Below are 24,829 nucleotides of genomic sequence, written 5' to 3' on the forward strand. Positions count from 1 at the left end.
CCAATAGTTAGTTTGTCAAACCTTGCCTTCCTCCTTCTCCCCTCTAGTAGTCCTGGTGTTTATTCTTTCCATCTTTATGTCCATAAGTACCCAGTGTTTAGCTCCCACTTATAAGTGAGATCATGTGGTATTTCATTTTGTATTCCTGCATTAATTTACTTAGGATAATGGCCTCCCGCTGCATCCATGTTGTTTCAAAGGACATGATTTTTTTTATTTTTATGGCTGCATAGTATTCCATGGTGTGTGAAATCGTTTGGAAGGTGGCCCCTATAAATCTCATGGTGAAATGTAATCCTCAGGGTTGGAGGTGGGGCCTGGTAGGAGGTGTTTGGGTCATGGGGGTGGATCTCTCATGAACTGATACCGTACTTGTGATAGCGAATTCTTTCAAGATCTGGTTGTGTAAGGGTGTGTGGTACTTACTCCCACTCCCATTCTCTCTTGTTCCTGCTCTGGCCATGTGATGAGCCTACTCCTTCTTCATCTTGTATCATGAGTAAAAGCTCCCTGGAGACTCCACAGGTGCCATCAGATGCCGTCACCATGCTTCCTGTACAGCCTGCAGGGCTATGAGCCAATTAAATCTCTTTTCCTTATAAGTTACCCAGTCTCAGGTATTTCTTCATAGCAATGCAAGAATGGCCTAATAATACTGTGTGGATGTACCACATTTTATTGATCCAATCCACTGTTGATGGGCACCTAGGCTGACTCCATGTCTTTGCTATTGTGAATAGTGCTGTGATGAACATGCAAGTGTGTATGTCTTTTTGGTAGAATAACTGACTTTCTTTGGGTCATATACCAGTAATGGAATTGTTGGCTTGAAAGGTAATTCTATTTTCAATTCTTTGAGAAATTTCCAAACTGCTTTAAACAGTGGCTGAACTAATTTACATTCACAACAATAATGTGTAAATGTTCCCTTTTCTCCACAGCCTCCCAAGATCTGTTGTTTTTCGATTTTTTAATAGTAGCTATTCTGACTGGTATAGGATAGTATCTCATTTTGGTTTTGATTTGCATTTCTCTCATGATTAGTGATGTTAAGCCTAATCTCTGCCACCTGAAAACTGGGAAAATACTGTGTCGCTTGTCAAAATAAATTGTTTTACTTTGCTTTAAAAATAATCAATTTAGTATATTTCTTCCAGCAAAATTAAGAAGTAAACATTTAGAAATGTAGAGTACCTTGCTGTTAAGTCTTCGCACAAGTATACCAATACAACATAAAGGCCATATTAAACTTTCATTTGAAATGAAAGACAATTTTTAAGAGGTTAAGGGCTAGTAATTTGTTAAAGTCCTGAAGTTAAATTAGCTCAAGTAAATACAAAGACTTTCCTTTAATTAAAGCCTTTTAAATGAATACTTTAAAGCATAGTTGGTTTCTCCTTCAAATCTTGTCCAAAGCCACTGTTTACAACTCAGTATATCAAAGAAGGTTTCAGACATGATTGTGAAGCTCCCTCAACTTACAATGTGCTATTTGCAACCTTAGATGGCTATCATTCTGGCTTTTCTACCTTTTAGCAACAATATGCACACCATTCCCATTTCTCCCCCACCCTGACTTACCCCTCTTTGCATTTAATATATAATTTTTCTCAGAGTGTTCTTACACATCTTTAACTGTAAATATGACAAAAGCACACAGTATAGTGCATGTGCCACATGTATAAATGTTGTATCTAGTCATACAATTTTCCTTTTAAAAAAGAAATATTTCATTTTCAAAAAGCAAAGACTCTAGGAATCTTTTCTAGCTGCCAGTCATAAAAACATAAATTCCTGGTTACATTCCCAAATTTGCCTGACCATAAGAACCACTTGTGGTACTTCTCAAACACATGTATTCTGAGTCCCATCCGTGATCTCCTGAATCAGAATCAGCAGGTGAGAGGCCTGGGAATACACATTTTAAACAAACGTCCACAGTGATTACGATTAGGCAAGCTTGAAAAAAATTTCACTAGGATCTTTATGACTGAATATCCTCACAAACATAGGAAAGTTACTGGGGAAAAATATGAGCAGAATTTCAGAATTCTCCCTTTGCTGAAAGTGTTTGTTCCCTCCGCCTCTACTCATCAAGACTTGACTGCTTATGTAACTCCCCCAAACCACCAACACCTGGAAGGAGTTGAAAATGATTTTAATGAAGAAGAAAAGCTGATGTTTAATTTCAAAATTGATGGTGACAATAGAAGGAAGAGGCATTAATTTATCTTGATTCTAACACAAAGCATTGTATTTGAGTCTACAAACTAAATTGGTTTCATTTTTATTTTTTGTAAGTTTTCACCAAACTCTAGGCATATATAGAGGCTGGGCAAGAAAGAAAGAAACCCAGAAATATGGCATATGTGATCCCTTATTTATTTCCCCATGAGACCAGCCAACAGCTTCTTCACCTAGTCCCTGCTTCAAGCTGACTTTCTGTCTACTTCTCTATCGGAAATGGAGCTTCCCTAAAGACTACCTCAATGTCGGTTACCCACAGGCCATTTTTCCATCTTGTGCTCCTAAACTTCTATGATATTAAATGATATTACCCTTTCTGGAAATTGTCCTTAACTTTGATTTTATAATTTTACTCTAACTTTGTTTCATTCCTTCTTTTATAGCCTTTCTTTTCTCTATCCCTTTACTGCAGACATGTTGTATGGCTTTGTTCTTGACCTTCTGATCTCTCTACGTTCATTCCCAACAGGATGTATCCATTTTCTTCGCGTCGCGCTTCCTAACTATCTGATTATTACCACCATATAACGATGTTGGTGATGAGCATAGCTAACATATCCTAGGCATTTTCCATGTAGGTTATAATAAGCACCCTATATAATTCGTACCATTTAATTCTTCAACCCTAAATGATACTATTACTAACCACATTGTATGAGATGAGGAAACTGAGATTTTCATCAAAACCATGGAAAGCCAACGTGAGGAGCCCCTGTGTGTCTCCTTTGTTAATGCCTCTGAGCATCATGGCATGTGGATTGCGGTGGAATGGGGATTAGGAAGCGCAGCACTGTGAAAACACCAGAAAATATGATAGCAGGTAAGGACGCTCATCTCTGCACATTGAGATGGTTTTGTTTCTGAGTCAGGTTTGAGATGAGTCAATCCTGACTCCATGGTGCCATCAGGGATCAGGAATTTAGTAAGATCTTCATGGATGCTTGGAACCCAACTGGTTTCTGTTTTCTACTTTAGGGAAAGAGCCACAACTTGAGTGGGGTGGTTTTGGTGTCACATACGCTATCAATAATACCCACCGTTTTGGTGTCACATACGCGATTATTAATACCCACCGCTGCGGAGGAATCACCGTGGACTACTCCTCGTTTCATCCCATGCTCTTGCGATGGATCCCTGTCACCTGTTTACTGATTTCATTCAAATTATTCAGCGACCACAGGACCCCGATTTGCCTTCTCTATCTTGGTTCCCATCACTCTGCTTTACAGGCCTGGCCTGCTCGTGGCTCCTCACACCAGCGCTGCACGTCTCCCTTCTTGCCTCTGCCCTGTTTCCTCCAGCAGACAGGACTAGCTTCCTCCATCTCTATGGGGCAAAAGCCTGCCCAGCGTTCAAGACCCTCCTCAGATGCCGCCTCCACGATTAGGCTTCTTCCTGACCCCTGAGCCTGTAACACGCGCCACCATAACTCTCCACCTTAGCCCACATTCCCACAGCACTCGCGACATCCGCGGCCCTAAACATGGAGCTTCATTCTATTTTAGGGTATTTCCTGCTTGTTTCCTGCACACACAGTCGCGTGAGGCACAGCCCCGAGTGACCCGCGCTTCCAGACTCGCCGCCACAGGCCGGCGAGGGCAACCTGAGCCGCTTCCCGCCTCCGCGGGGACCGTCGCCAGCCCGCAGCTCTAGCGGGAGGCGGTTCCACAGCGAGCCCAGCAGTCCCGCCACCGTCAGCACCAGTGCCTCAGGCGGGCTTTCCCCACCTCTGGGATGCACAAATCCTCAGGGGCTCCTTGAGAGGGAGCCAGGGAGCAGATGCGTGCGGACACCTTTCGGCCCTCTGCGGCCGCTGTAGCTCCTTGGCAGAAACCCGGAAGTGGAAATCTCAGCCACTCAGCGTTTGGGTGAAGACGAAGGCGGGTTTTGGATAGACGGACGCTGTCAGGGAGTGTTTACTTCGCCTCCACTTCTTTTCCTCCCCGCCCTGGTGCCGCTCCAGGTCACATACTCGTCCTGAGCTGGCTTCAGCCTCTCCACGTAGAAGTCTCCCGGAGCCATGGCCGAGTACTCTTTTGTGAAGTCTACCAAGCTTGTGCTCAAGGGAACCAAGGCGAAGAGCTGGGTCCTGCAGCTCCAGCGGGAGCCTCCTCAGTTCTTTTCGGATTCACTCCACGCCCGCGAATCCGGTGGAAGCCGTGGTGCGGAGAGCCGGCTTCGTGGCCTCCCAGGTTTCGCCCTGACCCTGTCTGGGCTGGACAGAGGCCGGGCCGCGGTTCGTGGCGCCTGTGCAGAGAGGGGCAGCCTCCCGCGTGGACGACACTGGAAACAGGATAGATGGGCGGGTGACCCGTAGCCCCGTACCCATGAGTTTGGGTCCGCTGAGGCATCTCTCCCGGCCTCTGCCTGGTGGGTCTGCGTTTGTCTGATCTTGTAGTTCATGATAATAACTTCCTTTACTAGGGATTATTCTTTTCTCCATTGTCTCTTCCTGGAAAAATTATTGATTATTTTTTTCTAAGCTAGTATGTAGAGTGAAACCAGGATGAATCACACAGTGGTTGAGGTGTATATAGGCTTTGATAGGGATATGGGCTGGAACCTGCACTCCGTCATTTACTAATTTTGTAATTTGTGGCAAATTGGTTAATATGTCTGAACTTCCATTTACTCATTAAGAGATCAAGTATCTTTAAACCTCCGTTTACACATTTATACTTTCAGACCATTTTTTATACCTTTAGAAGACTGTGAGGATTAAATTAGAGAACGTATATGCAGTAAATAAATTGAGCCAAATGTGAGGAGGAGGTCGTAGTGGTAATTTATTAGCTCTTTAGGAGAAAAATACCTGTGCATTCATATCCCCGCTTCTTTTTTAACTGGCAGATTTGCCTGAGGTTGACTGTACATACAAATATTGAGCATTTCCTTCTGGTCTCCGTGATAAACAGAGGTTTTGATATTGTTAGGCGAGATGGAAAGAAAGTGTCAAGGAGTGAGCTGAAGCCACTGCCCTTGAGAACCCTCTCGAGGAGTCTGGCCTCATGAAGATGCCAGAATAAATGGCAGGTATATCCTGAATGAATGTGAGATTTTTACTCTGTGAATTTCCTGTGAGGAGTGGTGAGTTATCTTCTGAAAACTTTATGATGAAAATGGAGACAAGAGTGTCTTAAGATTATCGTAATAATCATAATTAATGCTTATATAGCACTTTCAATGCGCCAGGAAATTGTTGTAGGCACTTTGCACATTAACTTTTTTCAAATCGCTCTTGGGTTTTTATTTTTTTATAGCGATGTAATTCATAATTATAAAATTCACCCTTTTGTACAGTCAGTGGTTTTTAGTACATATTCAAGAGGTTCACCACTGTCTAGTTGCTCAGCATTTTCATCATCTCAGAAGGAAATCTCTTCCTACCCATTAAAGCAATCACAACCCATCCTCCTTCTCTCCTAGTCCTTGGCAACCACTAGTCTCCTATCTATGTGAAATTGCCTATTCTGAATATTTCCTAAGAAATCATGCAACATGTGACCTTTTGTATCTGGCTTCTTTCACTTATAACATTCTTGAGGTCCATCATTGTTGTAGCGCTTGTTCCTTTTTATGGCTGTGTAGTATTCCATTGTATGGATGTAACATTTTGTTCATCCATTCATCAGTTGATGAACATTTAGGTTGTTTCCCCTTTTTGACTATTGTGACTAATGCTAGTGTGAATATTCTTATGTAAGTATTTTTGTGGGTGTATGTTTTCATTTCCCTTGGGTATACATACTTAGGAGTAAAATTGCTGGGTCATATGGTAACTCTTTAACTTTTTGAGGAACCCCAAACTGTTTCCTGTAGATGCTGCACCACTTTACATTTCCACCAGCAATGCGTGAAGATACATATTACCTCTTAATCCTCACAATAGCCTTAAGAGTTAAGTTATTATCCTAATTTATTAAGTGGGGAAACTGACTCCCAGAGAGATTCAGTACTTTTTACAAAAATCACAGAGCTAAGAAGTGACAGAATCAGGATTTAAAATCTGGCAGTGCGGCTCTACAATCTGCTTTGAACTTTAGCATAATATGTACAAAGCCTGAAGCAACTTCTCAGTACTGTATTTAAGAGGGCATAGCAATGTAAGTCTTCCTAAATCAATAATTTATAAGTGAAACAGCTTAAAAGACTTCCAAGTTTCAATCTTACGATATTTATTTATCACACAAATCAATATACCTAAACTCATCTGTATAAATAATGTCCTGTAGTAAGAAGAAAAAGAGGAAAGATAAGAAGAGAAGAAGATGAAGAAACCCAGTGTGATATGTTGGTGAGTCAGTTTTCAGTGCTTTATTCTGAAAAAAGTTAACATTTCTTGAGATCTCATTGAAAATATTTTCCTAGTTAGAAATTTATGATGTATTCATATTTGTCTTAAAGTGCTTAAATATTACCTACAGTTGTAAATTCCATTTATTCTTTAGCACAGTAGATGCTACTGATCCCTTTACTTCATTATCAGAACAGAGCACAGGAGAGAAGAATTACAACTCTCTGACTTAGTAGGCACCATTAGACTGCTTAATAGCCAGAGATTCTGATACATAATTTTAAAGGCTTAATGTAAATGTTATTCAACCAAATATATTTTACAAGTTATTTTCTTTGAACATGTATACATTTTAGTTGTAGAAGTCAGTTGTCTCTTAAACGAAGTATCTTCACAGGAAAAATCATCATTTTGTGAACTCTGAAATGAATGAAAATTTTAAATACAATATCAGGGTAGCCTGTAAATGATACTAGAAATAAACTGACCCAAACACACTTAACCAGCCTGTTTTCCACTTAGTTGTTTCCGTACTTGTTTTTCTCTTTTAAAACTTGGCAAATTGCATTTTGAATCTTCATAATTTATGGTAGCTTAAAAAATATATAAAATATGGAATGGTATAAAGCTAATATTCTGGAAGAATCATTACTTTTGAAATGGCAAATCAATAATTCTAAAATTAGCGTAAATATCTAGGGTAGATATGTAGATGTGGAATTGCTGTGTCAAAGGATAGGTGAATGTTTAACTATATAAGAAACTGCCAAAAGTTTTGTAAAGGGGTTGTGCCATTTTACCCTCCCACCAACAATGAATTAGTTCTCCAGTTACATCGTTGCCAAGAGTCGATGGAGTTATCAGTCTTTTCTCCCAGTCTGAGTTTTACCTTTTCAGTTTCTTAATGGTGGTTTTTGGATGGACAGCTTTTTTTTTTTTTTTTTTTTTTTTTTCCTGAGATGGAGTCTCTCTCTGTCATCTCTCTCTGTCGCCCAGGCTGGAGAGTAGTGGCACGATCTCGGTTCATTGCAAGCTCCACCTCCCAGGTTCATGCCATTCTCCTGCCTCAGCCTCCCAAGTAACTGGGACTACAGGCACCCGCCACCATGCCCAGCTAATTTTTTGTGTTTTTAGTAGTGTCAGGGTTTCACCATGTTAGCCAGGATGGTCAGAAGCTTTTGATTTTTATAAAGCTTAGTTTATTTTTTTATTTTATGGTTACTGCCTTATCTCTTTGATCTAAGAGATCTTTGCTTACCCCAAAGTCAGGAAAATATTCTACATTGTCTTTTAGAGGTCTCATAGTTTTAGTTTTTACATTAAATCTGTCATTAATCTCAAATTAATTTTTCGCATGGTGTGAGTTTGGTTTCAAGATTTACTTTTTTTTTTTTTTAACATCTTGATAGCCATTTGTGCCAGCACCACTGGTGTTTCCTTTTTGCATTAATCCATTTTCGTATCTTCATAAAAAATCAATTAAATTTCTATGTATTGGTCTATTTCTGGACTCTGTTCTATCGATTGTCTTTTTTTCTATTGGTATATTTATCTTGATTGCTATAATTTCATGAAGTGTTGAGATCAGATAGTGTGTGTCCTCCAACTTTGTACTTACTAACTATTAGTTTATTAATTTCTACAGTGAAGCCTGTTGGATTTTCTCGGAGAATTATATTGAGTCCAGATTATTTGGGGGAGAATCAACATCTTAATATTTGGCCTCAATATTTCATAATTTTCAATGTAGCAGTCTTGCATGCCTGTTTAAAAATTTATTCTTAAGTATTTTATAATTTTACACTACTGTCAGTAGAACTTTTGAATTTGATTTTCCAGTTGTTTGCTGTCAGTATGTAGATATACAATTGATTTTTGTATAGTGACTTTGTAGTCTGATAAGTCTGTTTCACTTATTACTTCTAGTGGTTTGTTTATATAGAAAACTAAGAAATTTGCAATTATGTTTCCTGTGACTATCCTTTTACTTCTTACTTTCTAATCCTTAAGTCTTGTCTTGCTTTTTATTGGTTTATTATACTGTCCAGGACTTCCATAGTGTTGAACAGAAGTCACGAGAATGGGCATAATTGCATTGTTCCCAAGCTTAGGCAGAAAGCTTTCAGTAGTCCACCGTATGGTATGATATCTGTAGGATCTGCAGAGAAAACCTTTATCAAAATGAGGACATTCCTTTTAAACTTTGCTTCTTGGGAGTTTTTATCATAACGATGTTTAATGCTGTCAAATGCCTCTTTCTGTATCTGTTGAGATGATTATACAACTTTCTTCATTCTACCAATGAATTACATTGGTTTCATTTTCAACTTTTAAACTAATTTTACATCCCTCAGATAAACCCCACTTGGTTGTGGTGCGTTGTCCTTAGGGATATTGCTTGAGTTGATTTCTAGGTGTTTGTTTGTTTGTTTTTAAGATTTCTGTATTGGTGTTGATGGGAGATATTGGACTTTTGTATCCTTTTCTTGTAATGTTTTTATTTGATTTTGGTGTCAAGGTGATATTTGGTGTCATAAAATTAGATGGGAAGTACTGTCTGCTTCCCTGTTTTTGGAAATAGCTGTGTAAGATTGGTATGATTTCTTCTTTACATGTTTGACAGGATTTACCAGCGAAGTCATCTGAACCTAGAGGGTTTTATTTGGTTTGGTTTTAGTTTTTTGTGGGAGAATTAAGATTTTTTAAGAGATATTTTCAGATTTTTCTGTTGTCAGTTTTGGTAATTTGTGTCTTTTAGGAAAATTTCATTTCATCCAAGTTGTTGGATTTATTGGCATAAAATTTTTCAGAATATTCCTTTAATATCCTTTTAATGTCTTAGAATCTAATCTGTATTGCAGTCTCTTCATATTGGTAATTTGTGTTTTTTCTATTTTTTCCTGGATCAGTCAGTCTAGCTGGAGGTTTATCAATTCTTTATAAGATCACTTATTTTAGATCATTAATGATCTTTTAATACAGGGGTATTCAATCTTTTAGCTTCCCTGGGCCACAATGGAAGGAGAGGAATTGTCTTGGGCCACACATAGAATACACTAATGATAAGCTGATGAGCCAAAAAAAAAGGAAAAAAAAATCTCATAATGTTTCAAGAAAGTTTATGAATTAGTGTTGGGCTGCATTCAAAGCTGGCCTGGGCCACATGTAGCCCTCAGGTTGGACAAGCCTGTTTCAGTATTACTTATTTTGTCTTTTTTTCATTTTTTATTTCATTTATTTTCAGTCTTTTTTTCCCTCCCTTTAACTTATTTTCAGTTTACTTTGCTCTTGTTTTATTGCTTCTTAAGAAAGCAGTTAGATATCTTCATTCCACGTCAGTTTTAGTTATAGTCAACACATTTTGCTTTCATTTTCATTCCATTCAAAATATCATCTAGTTTTCCTTGTGATTTTTCTTTCCATGGACATTTGAGTTATTTAAAAGTGTATTGTTTTTCATTTCTACTACATAGAGATATTATAGGTATGTTATTGTTGCTGATTTCTAATTCATTTATAGTATAGTTGGAGAACATACTTTCTTAGTGAATTTCCATGTACACTTCAAAAGAGTGTGTATTCTGCAGATGTTGGTTCAGGGCTTCTTGTTTTGGTTTTTTTTTTTTTTTTTTTTTTGGAGATGAAGTCACGCTCTGTTGCCCAGCAGGCTGGAGAGCAGTGGCACGATCTTCGACTCAGTGCAGCTTCCGCCTCCCAGGTTCAAGTGATTCTCCTGCCTCAGCCTCCAGAGGAGCTGGAAATACAGGCACCTGCCACCACGCCTGGCTAATTTTTTTAATATTTTTAATAGAGGTTGGGTTTCACCATGTTGGCCAAGCTGGTCTCAAACTCCTGACCTCAGGCAATGCGCCTGCCTCGGCCTCCCAAAGGGCTGGGATTATGGGCGTGAGCCGTGGCGCCCGGTGGTTCAGTGTTCTTCAGAGGTCAGTTAGATAAACTGGTGGAGCTTGTGACTATGCACATCTTCTGTGTCCTTACTGATTTTTTACTCATCCTACAATGTATTGAGAGTTATGTTAAAATCTCCAGCTGTAATTCTAGATCTGTCTACTTGAGCAGTATTTGCTTAAAGTATTTTGAAGCTGTCATGTGTACACATTTAGGATTGTTAAGTCTTCCTTATAAATTCAGTCTTTCATTTTCATAACATTTTAACTTTTATTTCTGTTAAATGTCTTGATGCCTAGTTAAATTATTTGACCACCCTTTTGCTCCTGACAAGCCTGGGCCTTTGTTAGTTTGTGCTTATTTATTAGGTTTTTGCCTGCAGACTTAGACAGTGACACTTACTCTAGGAAAGATTCATCCTCATGGGTCTCAGCCACATGTTCTAGGTATACTTTGTGAGTTCTCTCCACTCTGCTATGTCCCAAATTTGTGTGATCTCTGGCATCTCCAATCAGCCCTCAGAAGTGCCAGCCACTCTGCCGAGGCCTTGTGGAGCCTGCCTGCTCTATGCATTCCCCCCCAGCCCTTGGCCCCAGACCTGCCGAGAACTTTTGCATACTCTTTTGAGACCTCACCTGTATGTAGTTCCCTCTTCTCCAGTACCTTATTCTATAAACTCCAAACATGTTAGCACTGCAAGACTCTCAGCTTAGTGACAGTGACATTACCTCATTTCTGGAGGTCTCTACCTCTCTGCATGGTCAAGAAACTGCCATTGGGCAGAAAACAGAATTGTGTGTGAGATTTGCCTCCTGTGTTTTCTTGTTCTCAAATATTACAGTCCTGTTCTGCCTGTGTTCCAATCCCCGAAAAGAGTTTTCTCAAATATTCTATCTAGTTTCAGTTTTCTCGTTGGTCATCGTGGGAGGGCAAGTCCATCTTGGCTGGAAGAGTAAGTCCTTCTGCGTCTTTTTCTCTTTGTCCTTCCACCTTCTTTTGCATTGTGGATTTTCTCAACTTGCCGTATAAGTAAGCATGTGCCTATTTGTGAAGGGAAAGAAAAAAACCTTTTAATTTTTTAAAGCTGTTCTGTTGGTTCCTCACAAGGATCTGAAGGGATTGGTAAATAGGATGAAAGAAATTCTGACTTTCACATGGAGAGTACCATGTGTGACATTAATAAAAATGAGCATGTCTGTAAGCAAGGATTTTCACTGAGCTCTGCTAGATTCAGAAGCAATTGAACTTACAACATCGTAGTTTGCAAAACACAGATTTGATTTACCCAGGAACTAAAGCTAAGTCAGCTATGGGTTAATAGAAGTTCTGTGAAAGGTACTTAGACTACAGTAAGATTGGGAAAGAAAATTCCATTTCCAAATCTAAGATATATCATTCCTTTGTGCCAAGCACATAATGAAGGCAGAGATTTAAGGGGGTCCTTAGCACAGAAGAACTGGGTTAGTCAGAATGTGAGGTGAGCTGTCACACAGGCTTGATGCTAGAATGAGGGTGCCCTGATAGTACCTTATCAGCCATGACACTGGTGCATCGGGCCAGTTTTTTTTTTTTTTTTTTTTTTTTGAGACAGGCTGTTGCTTTGTTGCTCAGGCTGGAGTGCAGTGACATGATCATGGCTCAGTGCACCCTCGACCTCGTAGGCTCAAGCAGTCCTCTCACCTTGGACTCCCAAGTAGCTGGGACCACAGCCTTGTACCACCATACCCAGCTAATTTCTTAATTTTTTTGTAGAGATGGGGGTCTCCTTTTGTTGCCTAGGCTGATTTTGAATTCCTGGGCTTAAGTGATTCTCCTGCTTCCACCTCTCAAAGTGCTGGATTACAAGCATGCCAGACATATGGAAACATTCTCATCTATGTGAAAATATGTGAAAAGCTTTGTTATGCATTGTGAGACAACCCAGCAGGAACATTTCACCATCTGCCTAAGGTTTAAAAGGAAATAACTTTAAGCATATGTCTAAATAGCAAGTAATGTTTTAGAGTGGATTCTCTTAAATTCAGCTTGTGTGTCTGCAGCATATACACAGCTGGAGCTGTCACCTGACATAGAGACAGGCAACTTCAGTGCCCACTGTTCTTAGGATCCACTGCTTTTTCACAGCTAAAACCCCCTAGTGGCATCGTTAAGTATCATGTTATGTTACTTTAGTCATTAAACATATAAGCATACCTCCAAAGGTTGAATGTAGGCCACTTGCAGAAAGTAGGCAGAATGCTCACATTTAATTCTCGATGATACTGTGTTTAGCTTTCTTATTCTTTGAAATCCCATTGAGAAAAAATACTGGCATCTGCTCAAATTAATTTCTTTTTCAGTTGACAATATTATAAGTAATGTTGTAGTATCATTTCCCTACTTGGACAGAGGGTGAAAATTTTGAGGAACTTGTCTGCCAGAAATTTCTTCTTCATTTGCAAAACATTAATGAGATATTATATTTAAATGATTTTATTTAATATTAAGTGTACTTGGTGAACGTGGCATAGAACATACAAAATAAAACTAATTTAAAATTATTAACTTACATTTATAGGAAAGACTTGCTAATCATAACACTGTTCATAATGATTCTGAATAAAGCATTATTTCTTTTACTGAAAACAATTGCAGCTATAACTCAGTCATCTAAATTGTCATTAGTTTTATTTCTTTCTAATCGTCTTTAGCTGAAATTTTAATTTTGATTAATTTTCTTTTTCTCCATTGGTTTTGTGTGTGTGTGGAGGTAAAATATACAGAATATTGAATTTGCCAGTTTTTCTATTTTTACGTATACACTTCAGTGGCATTTGAATACATGCATCATTTTACCTTCCAACCAGCATTGCACAGGGTTTCAATTTCCCACATCCTGCCCAACATTTGTTTTTCTGGTTTTCTTGGTTTCTGTTTTTTGTTTGTTTTGATAATAGCATTCTAATGGGTGTGAAGTGGTATTGCATTATGTTTTTGATTTATATTTCCCTAGTGACTAGTGATGTTGAGCGTCTTTTCAAGTGCTTATTGGCCATTTGTATATCATCTTTGGAGCAATGTCCGTATATATCCTTTGCCCAGTTTTGAATTGTGGTATTTGTCTTTCTGGAGTTCTCTATATAGTCTAGATATTAATTCCTTATAATGTATGTAGTTTACAAATATTTTCTCCATTCTCCGGGTTGCCTTTTACTCTGTTGACAGTGGTTCTTGATGCACAAAAGTTTTTAATTCTGATGAAGTCCAGTTTGTCTACGTTTTCTTTTGTTGCCTGTGCCTTTGATGTTCTATATAAGGAATCATTGCCAAATTCATTGTCGTGAAGCTTTTCCCATTTTCTTCTAAAAGTTTTCTAACTTTAGCTCTTACATTTAGGTCTTTTGTCTATTTTAAGTTACTTTTTGTATTTGGTGTTAGACAAGGATCCAACTTCATTTTAGCTAAAATTTTATGTATTTTAAAATTGATTATGAAAAGCATGAAATGTTTAGTTGAATAGAAAATTTTGTGCAGTGGAATTAATTGAATCTTTAAAACCTTTTTATTATGGAAATATCCAAACTAATCCATACATAGAAGAATATAATGAGTCCCCCATGTGCCCAGGCCCCACCATTAAATATCAATATTTTGCCAATCTCGTTTCGTTTACATACATACCCCCACACACGTTTTTCCTAGAAAATTTTAAGTAAAATCACAGATATTACATCATTTTACCCATAAGTTCATAAATGTACATTTCTTAATGTGGTATGTCTTTCTCTCATCACCTGTTTTGTTCTTTACTTTTATACATTATACTATGTCATTATCAGACCTTGTAAAATTAACAAGAATTCCTTAATATGTCATATCCAGTTAATGATTGACTCATTTCTACTCTAGTTAAAGTACAATTTAGGAGGAGTTTTGAGGATATTTTTTAACATTAAGATATAAACTTTTATAACAACTGCTAAAATAATGGTTGCTAGACTCTAACATTTCTATTGGCAAATTGGACATTAGTATACATAGACATAGATTCTGCTCATTTTGCTTTCAATCTAAAATCATAATTAAGATTACTGGCTGGGTGTGGTGGCTCACACCTCTAATCCCAGCACTTTGGGAGGCAGAGGCAGGTGGAACACGAGGTCAGGAGTTCAAGACCAGCCTGGCCAATGTGGTGAAACCCCGTCTCTACTAAAAATACAAAAAAAATTATTCGGGCATGGTGGCAGGCTCTTGTAACCCCAGCTACTTGGGAAGCTAGGCAGAGAATTGTTTGAACCCAGGAGGTGGAGGTTGCAGTGAGCCAAGATTGCGTCACTGCATTCCACTCTGGGCGACAGAGCGAGACTCCATCTCAAAAAAAAAAAAAAAAAAAAATACTATGCTAGAAAGTCTTCCTGTAGAGGCATTTTTAAGAAGCATTATGATAGGCATTGCCTCTGGAAAGCAGGCATGAATAGATGGCTGGGGTCTATCATGAGAGAGACCGTTCTCCATATATCACTTTGTACCTTCACATGTTGCCTTTTGTTTTGTTTTGGTCTTTTTTTGAGATAGGACCTTGCTCTGTCACTCAGGCTAGAGTGCAGTGGTGTGATCATAGCTCACTATAACCTTGAACTCCTGGGCTCAAGTGATCCTCTTTCACACCTCCCCGAGTAGCTGGGATTACAGGCATGCACCCCCATACCTGACTGTATGTTGCTATTGTGTATTTTAAAAACCTAATCCTGACTGTGCTGGTAGTCGCAGGAATCTGTGCACATACATGCAAACAAGTACATGTAAAACTGGTGAAATCTGAATAAGCTTCATGTATTATATCAATGTCAGTTTCCTGATTCTAACAATGTATGATACTTATGCAATATGTTATCATTGAGACAAAGCGAGTAAAGGATATGTGAGATCTTCATAGTATTTCTTATGACTGCAAAATAAAAGGTTTTTAAAACTAAGTTATAATAACAAAGAACTCTGTCAAAACTAAAATAAAAAATTGAAATATCATTTTTATTTTTTAGGAATCTGGTGAACAGTAACAAACTTTGGTGAAATTTCAGGAACCATAGCCATTGAAATGGATGAGGGAACCTATATACATGTACTCGACAATGGTATTTTTACCCTGGGAGCTCCACACAAAGAAGGTTTGTGTCTGGAAGGGAAGATCCTGCCACAAGTGTAGATTTTAGGACATTCATTCACTTAGGCCAAACTCTAACTAGTCTCAAACATTTTCCAAAGGAATGGAACCATTGCATTTGACTCTTCCATTTTTTTTAATTCCTTAATATTTACCAGCCATTGGCAAGTCCCTCTTTCTAATATAAGCATTTGAAAACATTCCGTATGGTTCCAGAAGAGTATCTTTGGAAATCAAAACAATATGAATAATTAAAATAGTAAGTGGAAAGAAAAAAGAAAACCTATTTGGGTCAAACATATTTGAATTTCTTTTTTATTCAGACCTATTACCAAAACTAACCTGGGTGCATTTAACAATTTGAAGTTTCTTCATTTTCTTTAGCCCATTAGAGAAAGCACTAATAAGATACGAAGTAATTAGAAGATAAAAAGCAGTATCATTTCATCAGCAAGGCCATCCATTGAATAAATGAAAGCATTTAGCTTTTTTAAATAAGTGCTTATTTATGACTGTATTTTAAAACATAAAGAGAAGCTATCTCAAAAGTTATTAAATAAGCATTATATCACCCTGTCTTACTCAGTGTATAAAATTAACACTGTAGTTACAAGAAGGTAAAATAGATCTTGATTCCAAAGATACAGTATTACAGTGACATCAGTATATCTGAATATTCTTACATTTAATTGCAGAAGAAAATAGCCACATTTTTTAAAGCAAAATAATATCTTTATATTTATAGCAAATGTCAAATTTATTTTCAAATGTTTTTTCTCCAATAGTTGATGAGGGCCCTAGTCCTCCAGAGCAGTTTATGGCTGTCAAATTATCTGATTCCAGTTGAACTTATATTGTAATATAATTAGTAACCAGTTATTTTAAAAATTTAATTGTATTCATTAAAAATTTTAGTATGTATCTTAAGTCCATGGTAATTTTGATATATAAAACAAAATAGCTTTTTTGAAAAGTAGATTTTGTGATCTACTTTCAGTGGATTTCTTATCAATATATAATGCTAGGCTGGAAAAAAGATATGTAAGTTAAAAAATGAAGATTAATAATTTCACACACCAAATAAGATAAATTAAAAAATAAATAAATTTGTACAAAACCTGGTTCACTGTTGCTATGATATTTAAACTCACTGTTTGGAAGTCTAAAGACAAACAGGAAGACTAAAAAAAAGGAATATTGTTAAAACCAGCAGAGAATGTTACAGCATCATAACGACCAAAAGAATATTTTTCCTCACTATTTTTACAGTCATTTTATAAAGTAACCTTTTTTATTCTCACCTTGTGCAGAAGTATAGAATGATTCTTTGGGTAAAAGATACTGAAAGTGAATTTACATATTTTAGTAATTGGTTACATCAACATGATAATGATTTCTGTTATATAATCATTAATGTATAAAGGAGTAAAAGTCAATTCTGGCATCCGAGGAGATTCTTGGTAAGGTAAAAGAAATCATAATTTTAAAACATCACATTAAGATGATTATTTCTATACTTTCTTTGAAAGTCTGATAAGTAGGGTGAAAGAATAAAAGCAGAGGAAGAAAGATTCAATAGTTTTAAACTGCTTTACAGTTATAAACAAAAAAGGATTATAAAGAAAATTAACTGACAAATGAGAAAATATTTGCAACAATCTTAATAGGCAGTGAGTTCTTACTCTTCATACATATCTTGTATAGAATTCATAGCACTGAAGACCCCAGTAGAAAAATTGCGAACAATCAAATCTGAATAGAAAAATGGACAAGGGACATTATCAGATAATCTAAAAACTAAAAAGGAAAGGAAAAGAGAAACAATTGTTATTCTAGTTAACTACTAAAATGCAAATTAGTAGGATACTGTTTTTTTCCATATTAGGTTTTCAAGTATTTTTTTAGAGTCATAATGTTTAAAAAAAATCCATGATACAAACCATACTCTGCTAATTTGAGGTAAGAATGTAAATGGAAGCAGCATTTTCTGGAAAACAGTTTGATGACATAAAGTTTTAGTAATTTATTATTGAAGTTTATAACTAAAGAGGTATAATTGAAGAATGATGAATTTTGAAAATATTTGTTATGTAATATACAAGGTATAATGTTTTTATTAAAAAAGCAAAATATAAAACTAAATGTAAAACTGTACCATCCAATATGGCAACAACTAGTCACATGTAGCTTTTTTTTTTTTTTTTGAAGACACAGAGTCTCAATCTGTCACCCAGGCTGGAGGGCAGTGGTGTGATCATAGCTCAATATAACCTCAAATTTCTGGGCTCAAGCACTCCTCCTGCATCAGCCTCCTAAGTAGCCAGTATTACATGTGCACACCACCATGCCCAGCTAACTTTTTAAATTTTTTGTAAAGATGGGGTCTCACTATGTTGTCCAGGCTGATCTTGAACTTCTTGCCTCAAGCAATTCTCCCATTGCCTTTCCAAAGCACAGAGATTACAGGAGTGAGTCACCACTCAGCCACATGCATCTTTTGAACTCTTGGAATATGTCCAGTCTGAAACTTTAGATATGTACACACCCACACACATACACATGTCCTGTTTTGATGTTCTATAATTAATTTTCTCTCAGTTTTTAACTTTTATCTATCTTATTAATGTACAGAATCACCCTGAAATCTGGCTATGGAAAATATCTTGGTATAAATTCAGATGAACTTGTTGTTGGGCGTTCAGTTGCAATTGGACCAAGAGAACAATGGGAACCAGTCTTTCAAAATGTAAGTGCTGTTTTTGTTTATAAAAACTTCCTGTCAGTTTAACACAAAGTCTGTAACAGTAAATCATAATATATTTAAAAACAAAAAGTAGGATGCAGTAGTATAATACATTAAATTGGAATAAACCACTAAGAACATACAGCCTTAAAGAGATTTCAAAATGTAGTGCAACAAAAATAGCATTAGTACTTTTGCCCACAATTATTTCTCTATACCCTTAGTGCCTAGGTATGGATCTCATTTCCACTGAAGAACCAGTCAATTTTAGGTCACAGAGTAGGAAAACAGAATAGTTCCTAAGTATCTTCTTTGTAGCAGAAAACATGGATGATTTCAGAAACATTACAGACTGCAAGTAAACAGTGGAGCTAGCTAAGACCAAGTTGTGACAATTTGCGTATAAAATATAAATAATAATAGTTCATTGAAGTAAATTATCTCTAAAAGACTTTCAGTTCATAAGCTTAAAATAGTGTATGAAAAGATAGTTTTAATATAAGAAGAAAAAAGATAATATACTAATTCTTAATTTTAGTAAGTAAACAATTGTAGTATATGGATGTTTTGTTAAATCTTTGTTGATACAGAATACATAATTTCCTTTTTCTGTTTGTGTGAGAAGAAAAGATTGAACAAAAATATATGAGTGCTAAACTGTCTTTAAAAAGTAGATAACTATATCAAAAACAGTAAGGACCAGTGGGCACCACGCAGAACAAGCAAATAGAAGATAATCTCAGCTTTGAGTAGCAGCTTTGGTAGTATACATTAATGAACTGAAAATAGGTACTCAGCAGTGTTTTCTAAGATGACAGATTAAACAAACATCCCACCAGAAAGTGGTAATCACTTAGACTAATTTCCTCATCCCCTAGGATAAAATCTTAAGTCGGTGACTTGAAAACTATTTTGACCCAATCCATTGACAAATGCATTTTTACATTGCAGCCCAGCACACACATATGTATAACTGAAGCAAGAGTTGTACTTAACAATACATACTTATCCATGTGTTATGAACCTTGATATTTCTTATTCTCTTTTACCCCTTCCTCTGTGTGTCTGTGTGTATTCCTTTTCGCCCCCACCCACCCAATACCGTTCAGGAAACACTACATTGATTTCATTACCTGCTAATGTGTTGCAACCCCTTTGAGATGATTCTACTTATTATGATGAGATGCTTCTAATAAAAGTTACACCAGTAGAAAATGCCAATATTTCATAAGGCCAGGATGATGACTTAGATAGTACTAATAATACAACACTTTAGGAAAGTTCATTTCATTTTATTTTTAGGAAGGACACTAAGTTTCAAAAATTTAAATTTAAATGAAAGAGGGTCTTAAAACTCTATTGCAAAAAGGACTCAGCTGAATAATCTGTGGCACAGGTTTAAATCGCCTTGGACCACACCGCCATGTTCCAGAGCTCACCAGTAGCCATCCAGATGAGAGACCACCCAGCCCTTGTGACTTGACTAAGAAATTAAATCCATGTTATCAGCACGTTTTTAACTGGATGTGTTATAAGGTTAACATATTTTGTAATCATTGTATTTATAAATATTTTGTCTAAATGTTATGGTATTCCAAGTTTTCCAAAAGAATCAACCAAATACAAGTTATAAATAAACGTTATATTTGTTACGGGAGTTAAGCTAACCAAATTTATAACCCAGATTTAGCTACACAAGAAAATCAGTTTTTAAAGTTTTGTTTAATAGAAACCAGTGTAATACATCAAATATTAAACAATTAAAAATGTATATGAATATTTATTTTCACACACAAAAGTCCCTCAGACATTGATTCTTAAATTCCAAACACCGAAGGCATTGTATATACATTTTCATGTTTTCTAATTGTGAAGAAAATAAATTTTACTTAAAATGTTAATATTTGAATAAAGTATGCATTCATAATTATGTTCTTGTCTTTAAAGTTAATTTTCCAAACAGAACTAAATCAGTTTTATCTTCAGTAGATCTTTTAGAAAGGAAGCAATCCTACCTCATCTAATTAGAATTTAGTCCTACTAGGAAGATACATTATAAATGTTTATTGTGGTAATCTTTGAATAGTAAAATGAAAGTTGATTTTGGTTCCCTTTTCTATATGTTCTTGTATTATATTTTTCAGGTTTTTCTCTAAGTTCTTTTCTGTGATTTTTAAATCAGGGAGGAAAAATTAATTCAGTCTAAACACTTAATGTTTCTTCTACAAGAAGTATCCTCATGGCTATATTGTTATTTTGTTTCACTTAGGGTAAAATGGCTTTGTTGGCCTCAAATAGCTGCTTTATTAGATGTAATGAAACAGGGGACATAGAAGCAAAAGGTAAAACAGCAGGAGAAGAAGAAATGATCAAGATAACGATGACATTTTATACAGATGACTGCATTCACACATGCAATGTGACTATCTCTTTAAAATGTTAAGTCATCATTTACTGTCACTTTAAAGATTTAGTTAATAGCTTTTATAATGTGATGTTTCAAATAGACTCATTTTTAATTATAAATCCCATAGTTGATGGCTTGTTTATACAATGTGGTAGAGAAATCAGTGCATCTAGGAGCTACCTTGCCATTATCTCCATGGATTAGTATCTTTTTTCTGGTAGTTCCACATGCTCTTTTTAAGCTTTCATTTTCTTGTTTTCTTGTTTGTATTTTAAAATCTGATTTTTTAAATAGATAACATGTACATGTGGTCCAACATTTTTAAATAAAAGCATATAAAGATGAAGATATATGCCTGCCATGCATCTTACTCACCTGTGTCCCAGCTCCTGTTCCTCTTTCTCTTTGTTTTGTTTTTTTATAGCCTCCTAAAGTTTCTTTATAAACATATGAATATATTTATAATTTTCAACTGTTTTACACTAAAGGCAACCTCCTCTATAGTCTTCTCGACTTTGATTTTTTTTTTCCTTAAAATTGTATCTTGGAGAGTTTTCTACTATTAGTTTGAATGTAGAAAGGTTTCTCTTTGTCTTGCTTTTCCTCTCTTTCTCTCTCTCTCTTTATTAACAGCCACGTAATATTCCATTTTAGGGATGTACCTTAATTTATTTAGTCTTTTGTAGATGGAAATTTAGGCTTTTTTCAGTCTTTTGCTCTTATAAACAGTGCTGCAGTACATAACATTGAATATGCATCAATTTGTAGATGTGCGGGTGGACCTGAAGATAAATTTCCAGGAACAGAATTACCAGGTCAGGGCATACGTGTTTGTATTTACATAATGCTTGAGCTTCTGTGATGATAATCACTCTATGAAACATAAAAAATCATAGCAGAACTTCTGGGGCCTTAGCCCTTACATTTTAAAAATATTTTTATTAATAGTACCTGTCTTCTTTGCATTAGGAGAAACATGAATCACGTAAAACATGATTTTTATTTTATTTTTAAAATTTGTGTGCATCACTAACCTGGAAATAAAAGTTCCTTATTCCAGGCTAAATTCCCTCATCCATAGTCAGATGCGTTATCCATTGCACCAGTGGCCTGTGCTCTCCCTAATCCTACTCTTTGTTTTACATCATTGTAAAAGTTACACAGACATCTTCATATCAAGGTGAAATTCCAAATAATACTGTTAATATAACCTAGAAAATTAAGGTAGTTAACTGGAACTTGATGAAAACATTTAAGGATTAATTTTTTAGACTCACAAAAGCCACTGATCTTTAATGATATACATATACCAGGATGTGTCTAAAGAATAACTCCCCCCTTCTTGACACATGGTTTTTCTGTGTCTTGGCATTCCATCGCAGTACTGAGCAAAGGCACTGATCTTTAATGATGAACATATACCAGGATGTGTCTAAAGAATAATTCCCCCCTTCTTGACACATGGTTTTTCTGTGTCTTGGCATTCCATCGCAGTACTGAGCAAAGGCACTGATCTTTAATGATAAGCATATACCAGGTTGTGTCTAAAGAATAACTCCCCCCTTCTTGACACATGGTTTTTCTGTGTCTTGGCATTCCATCGCAGTACTGAGCAAAGGCACTGATCTTTAATGATAAACATATACTAGGATGTGTCTAAAGAATAACTCCCCTCTTCTTGACACATGGCTTTTCTGTGTCTTGGCATTCCATCCCAGTACTGAGCATCCAGAACCTTACTTTGTTTGTCTCTGTTGGGAATCCCAGGTTGCATCCAGTCTGACCCAGATTTGCTCTGTAAGGCGTTGTGGGGGCCAGAGTGGAAGGCTCTAAGAGAGGGGGCAAATGCCTTTTCTAAAATGCCCTTCGTTCTTATAATTAGAGCATAAAAATTTATGTTACATTTTTATCTACTACCAGTGTAATTTAAAAGCATCTATCAATTCTCTGTACATGATTCATGTTAGATTTCCGGTCATATGTTTGATTTTCTCTTTAGAATAGTCTTGATTTCAGATAATTTCAAATCTAAAGCTCAGACAATTTCAATCTAACATGTAGGTATTTTCTTACAGTTAGAGAAGTGAAATGTTATATTTTTTTGTTGCATGCATCCGGCACATGAGTTGTAGTCTTGAATTTCCATAATGCTCCTGTGAGGTGGATGTGAGCTCAGCCTTACAGACAGGAAGACAGCCTCTGACCCTCCTTACATCCTCGTGGTTTTTGTCAGTCAGTTCATGGAAATCACAGTGATTTCAAGGTGTGGTAAGACAGGATGTGTACCCAGGCCCAGCTGACTCCAGAGGCCACTCTCAGTATTTCATAGCACATTGCTTCTCAGGAAACAGGTCATTGAGGAAATGCAGATGGGTTTGTGACTTACATTTAATTTTACTTATTTATATTTTATTGTATCATGTTTAAATTATTTTTCATCTGGATATCATCACAAAAGTGTTACTGAAGGCAACAATTGCAAATATATGTGCGGTGCTTTGCACTTATACAAAGATACAAAGATACTTACACAAACATTGCATTTTTCACTATTTAAAGCAATTTTCAGATGAAATACAAAGTTTTCTGTGTCTCTTTGGTTAGTCAAGTACTTGGAAGCTCTGAACAGTGATTATTTAGGACTCTTTTTGTACCATTTAATTGCAGGCTCTCCTAATCTCTGTCAGCCCTTCACCTTTATGACCTTGCCTTGTCTACCAGAACACAGACCCCTCTTACTAAAGGTAGCATTGTGCTACAGGCCCTAGCAGGGAATGTTTTCAGGTCTGGGACCCCTCTAATCAAAACTGTCACAAAGATGTCATTGGCACAAACACGTTATTTGTCATCACTGTCTAAGCAGCCCTGGAACTGGACTCTGGCCACAGAGATCCCTTAGGAGACATGATTCCTTACCATTGCCAATTGCCTGTTCTGTGGGCAATCCTAATTTTTGAATGCAGATTAATTAACTGATGACATGTGATAGTAAACATCTATCCAAACTTAGGAGGATATAAGAAGCTAGTAAAAGAGGTGAGTTCCAATTAATTAAAATCAAGTTGTGTAATGTTAAAAGTTTTAATACTTTGGTAATAGTCTGTGCAATATAAAATAGCTATTAAGCTTTCAATCTGATCAAATGAACACTTGTCTACTAGGGATAATTTGATCCTAGTGTATTCACTTGGAGGATAAAATTAAATTAATGATTTCTTTATTGCCTAACAGGATCTGATGTGTAAAATGTTTCTGAAATAATTTTGTCTGTAGTGTTTCTGACACAAGGGCTGTGGAGAAAGCATGTGATAGCACTTACTCATATAGATTATATATATGAAGTAAAAACACATAGCCAGAACCTGTCTTTTTCTGAACATAGTTGCTCAGTTAATTTTTTCTTCTGCATAAGAAATCATCTCGAATATTCTTAGGTGATGTGTAAAGTGGGGAAGATGGAAGATAAATATATAACCCATTGGATTCTCTTTTCCAATATCTAGATTAGATCCTGTGCTGAAAGAGAAACCAAGAAAAAAGATGACATTCCAGAAGAAGACAAAGGAAATGTAAAACAATGTGAAATCAATTATGTGTATGTATGCTTTTCCTTTTAGACCTACAGATTTGACAGTGAAGTGCTTCTCAAAGTGCTTTCAAAATAAATTACCTAATTAGCTGGGGATGGTGGTGCATGCCCGTAGGCCCCACTACATGAAAGGCTGAGACAGGAGGATTGTTTTAGCCCAGGAGTTCAAGGCTGCAGTGAGCTCTGATCACCACTGCATTCCAGCCTGGGTGACAGAGCAAGACCCTGTCTGAAAAAATGAAAACTGATGGACAAGAAGAGGCAACACAATGTAGCCTCTAGGACAGAGCACTGAGCTAAATGCTTTTCTCTTCTTGAGGGTTCAGTTTTCCTAATCATCCTACCAGCTCCCAAAGCTAGTCATTCGGGTTAGTCAATCTCTCTATTCATTCATAGAATGGGCATGATGCCAGTCAAAGGCTGTGCTGTGGCCAGGACACAGGGGACTCCAGCCACCATGCCTTAATAGAAGTGGTGCCTTCTGCTACCCAGTCAAT

At 36.6% G+C, this 24,829-nt stretch overlaps 1 pseudogene across 1 annotated transcript, besides 1 other annotated feature; it reads left to right on the forward strand.

Moving 5' to 3' along the window:
• Positions 1-24,829: part of a centromere (Linear centromere model derived predominantly from reads generated in PMID: 17803354. This region does not represent an actual centromere sequence, as long-range ordering of repeats and unmapped WGS contigs is not provided by the model. For details of model production, see http://arxiv.org/abs/1307.0035.) that runs on past both edges of the window.
• FRG1DP (FSHD region gene 1 family member D, pseudogene) lies at positions 4,268-20,710 on the forward strand (annotated as a pseudogene). Its single transcript, NR_132316.1, has 6 exons — positions 4,268-4,333; positions 6,480-6,541; positions 15,472-15,597; positions 16,379-16,435; positions 18,225-18,339; positions 20,606-20,710. The product of NR_132316.1 is annotated as an FSHD region gene 1 family member D, pseudogene (transcript).

Source organism: Homo sapiens, chromosome 20, assembly GCF_000001405.40.
Source record: "Homo sapiens chromosome 20, GRCh38.p14 Primary Assembly".
NCBI lineage: Eukaryota > Metazoa > Chordata > Mammalia > Primates > Hominidae > Homo > Homo sapiens.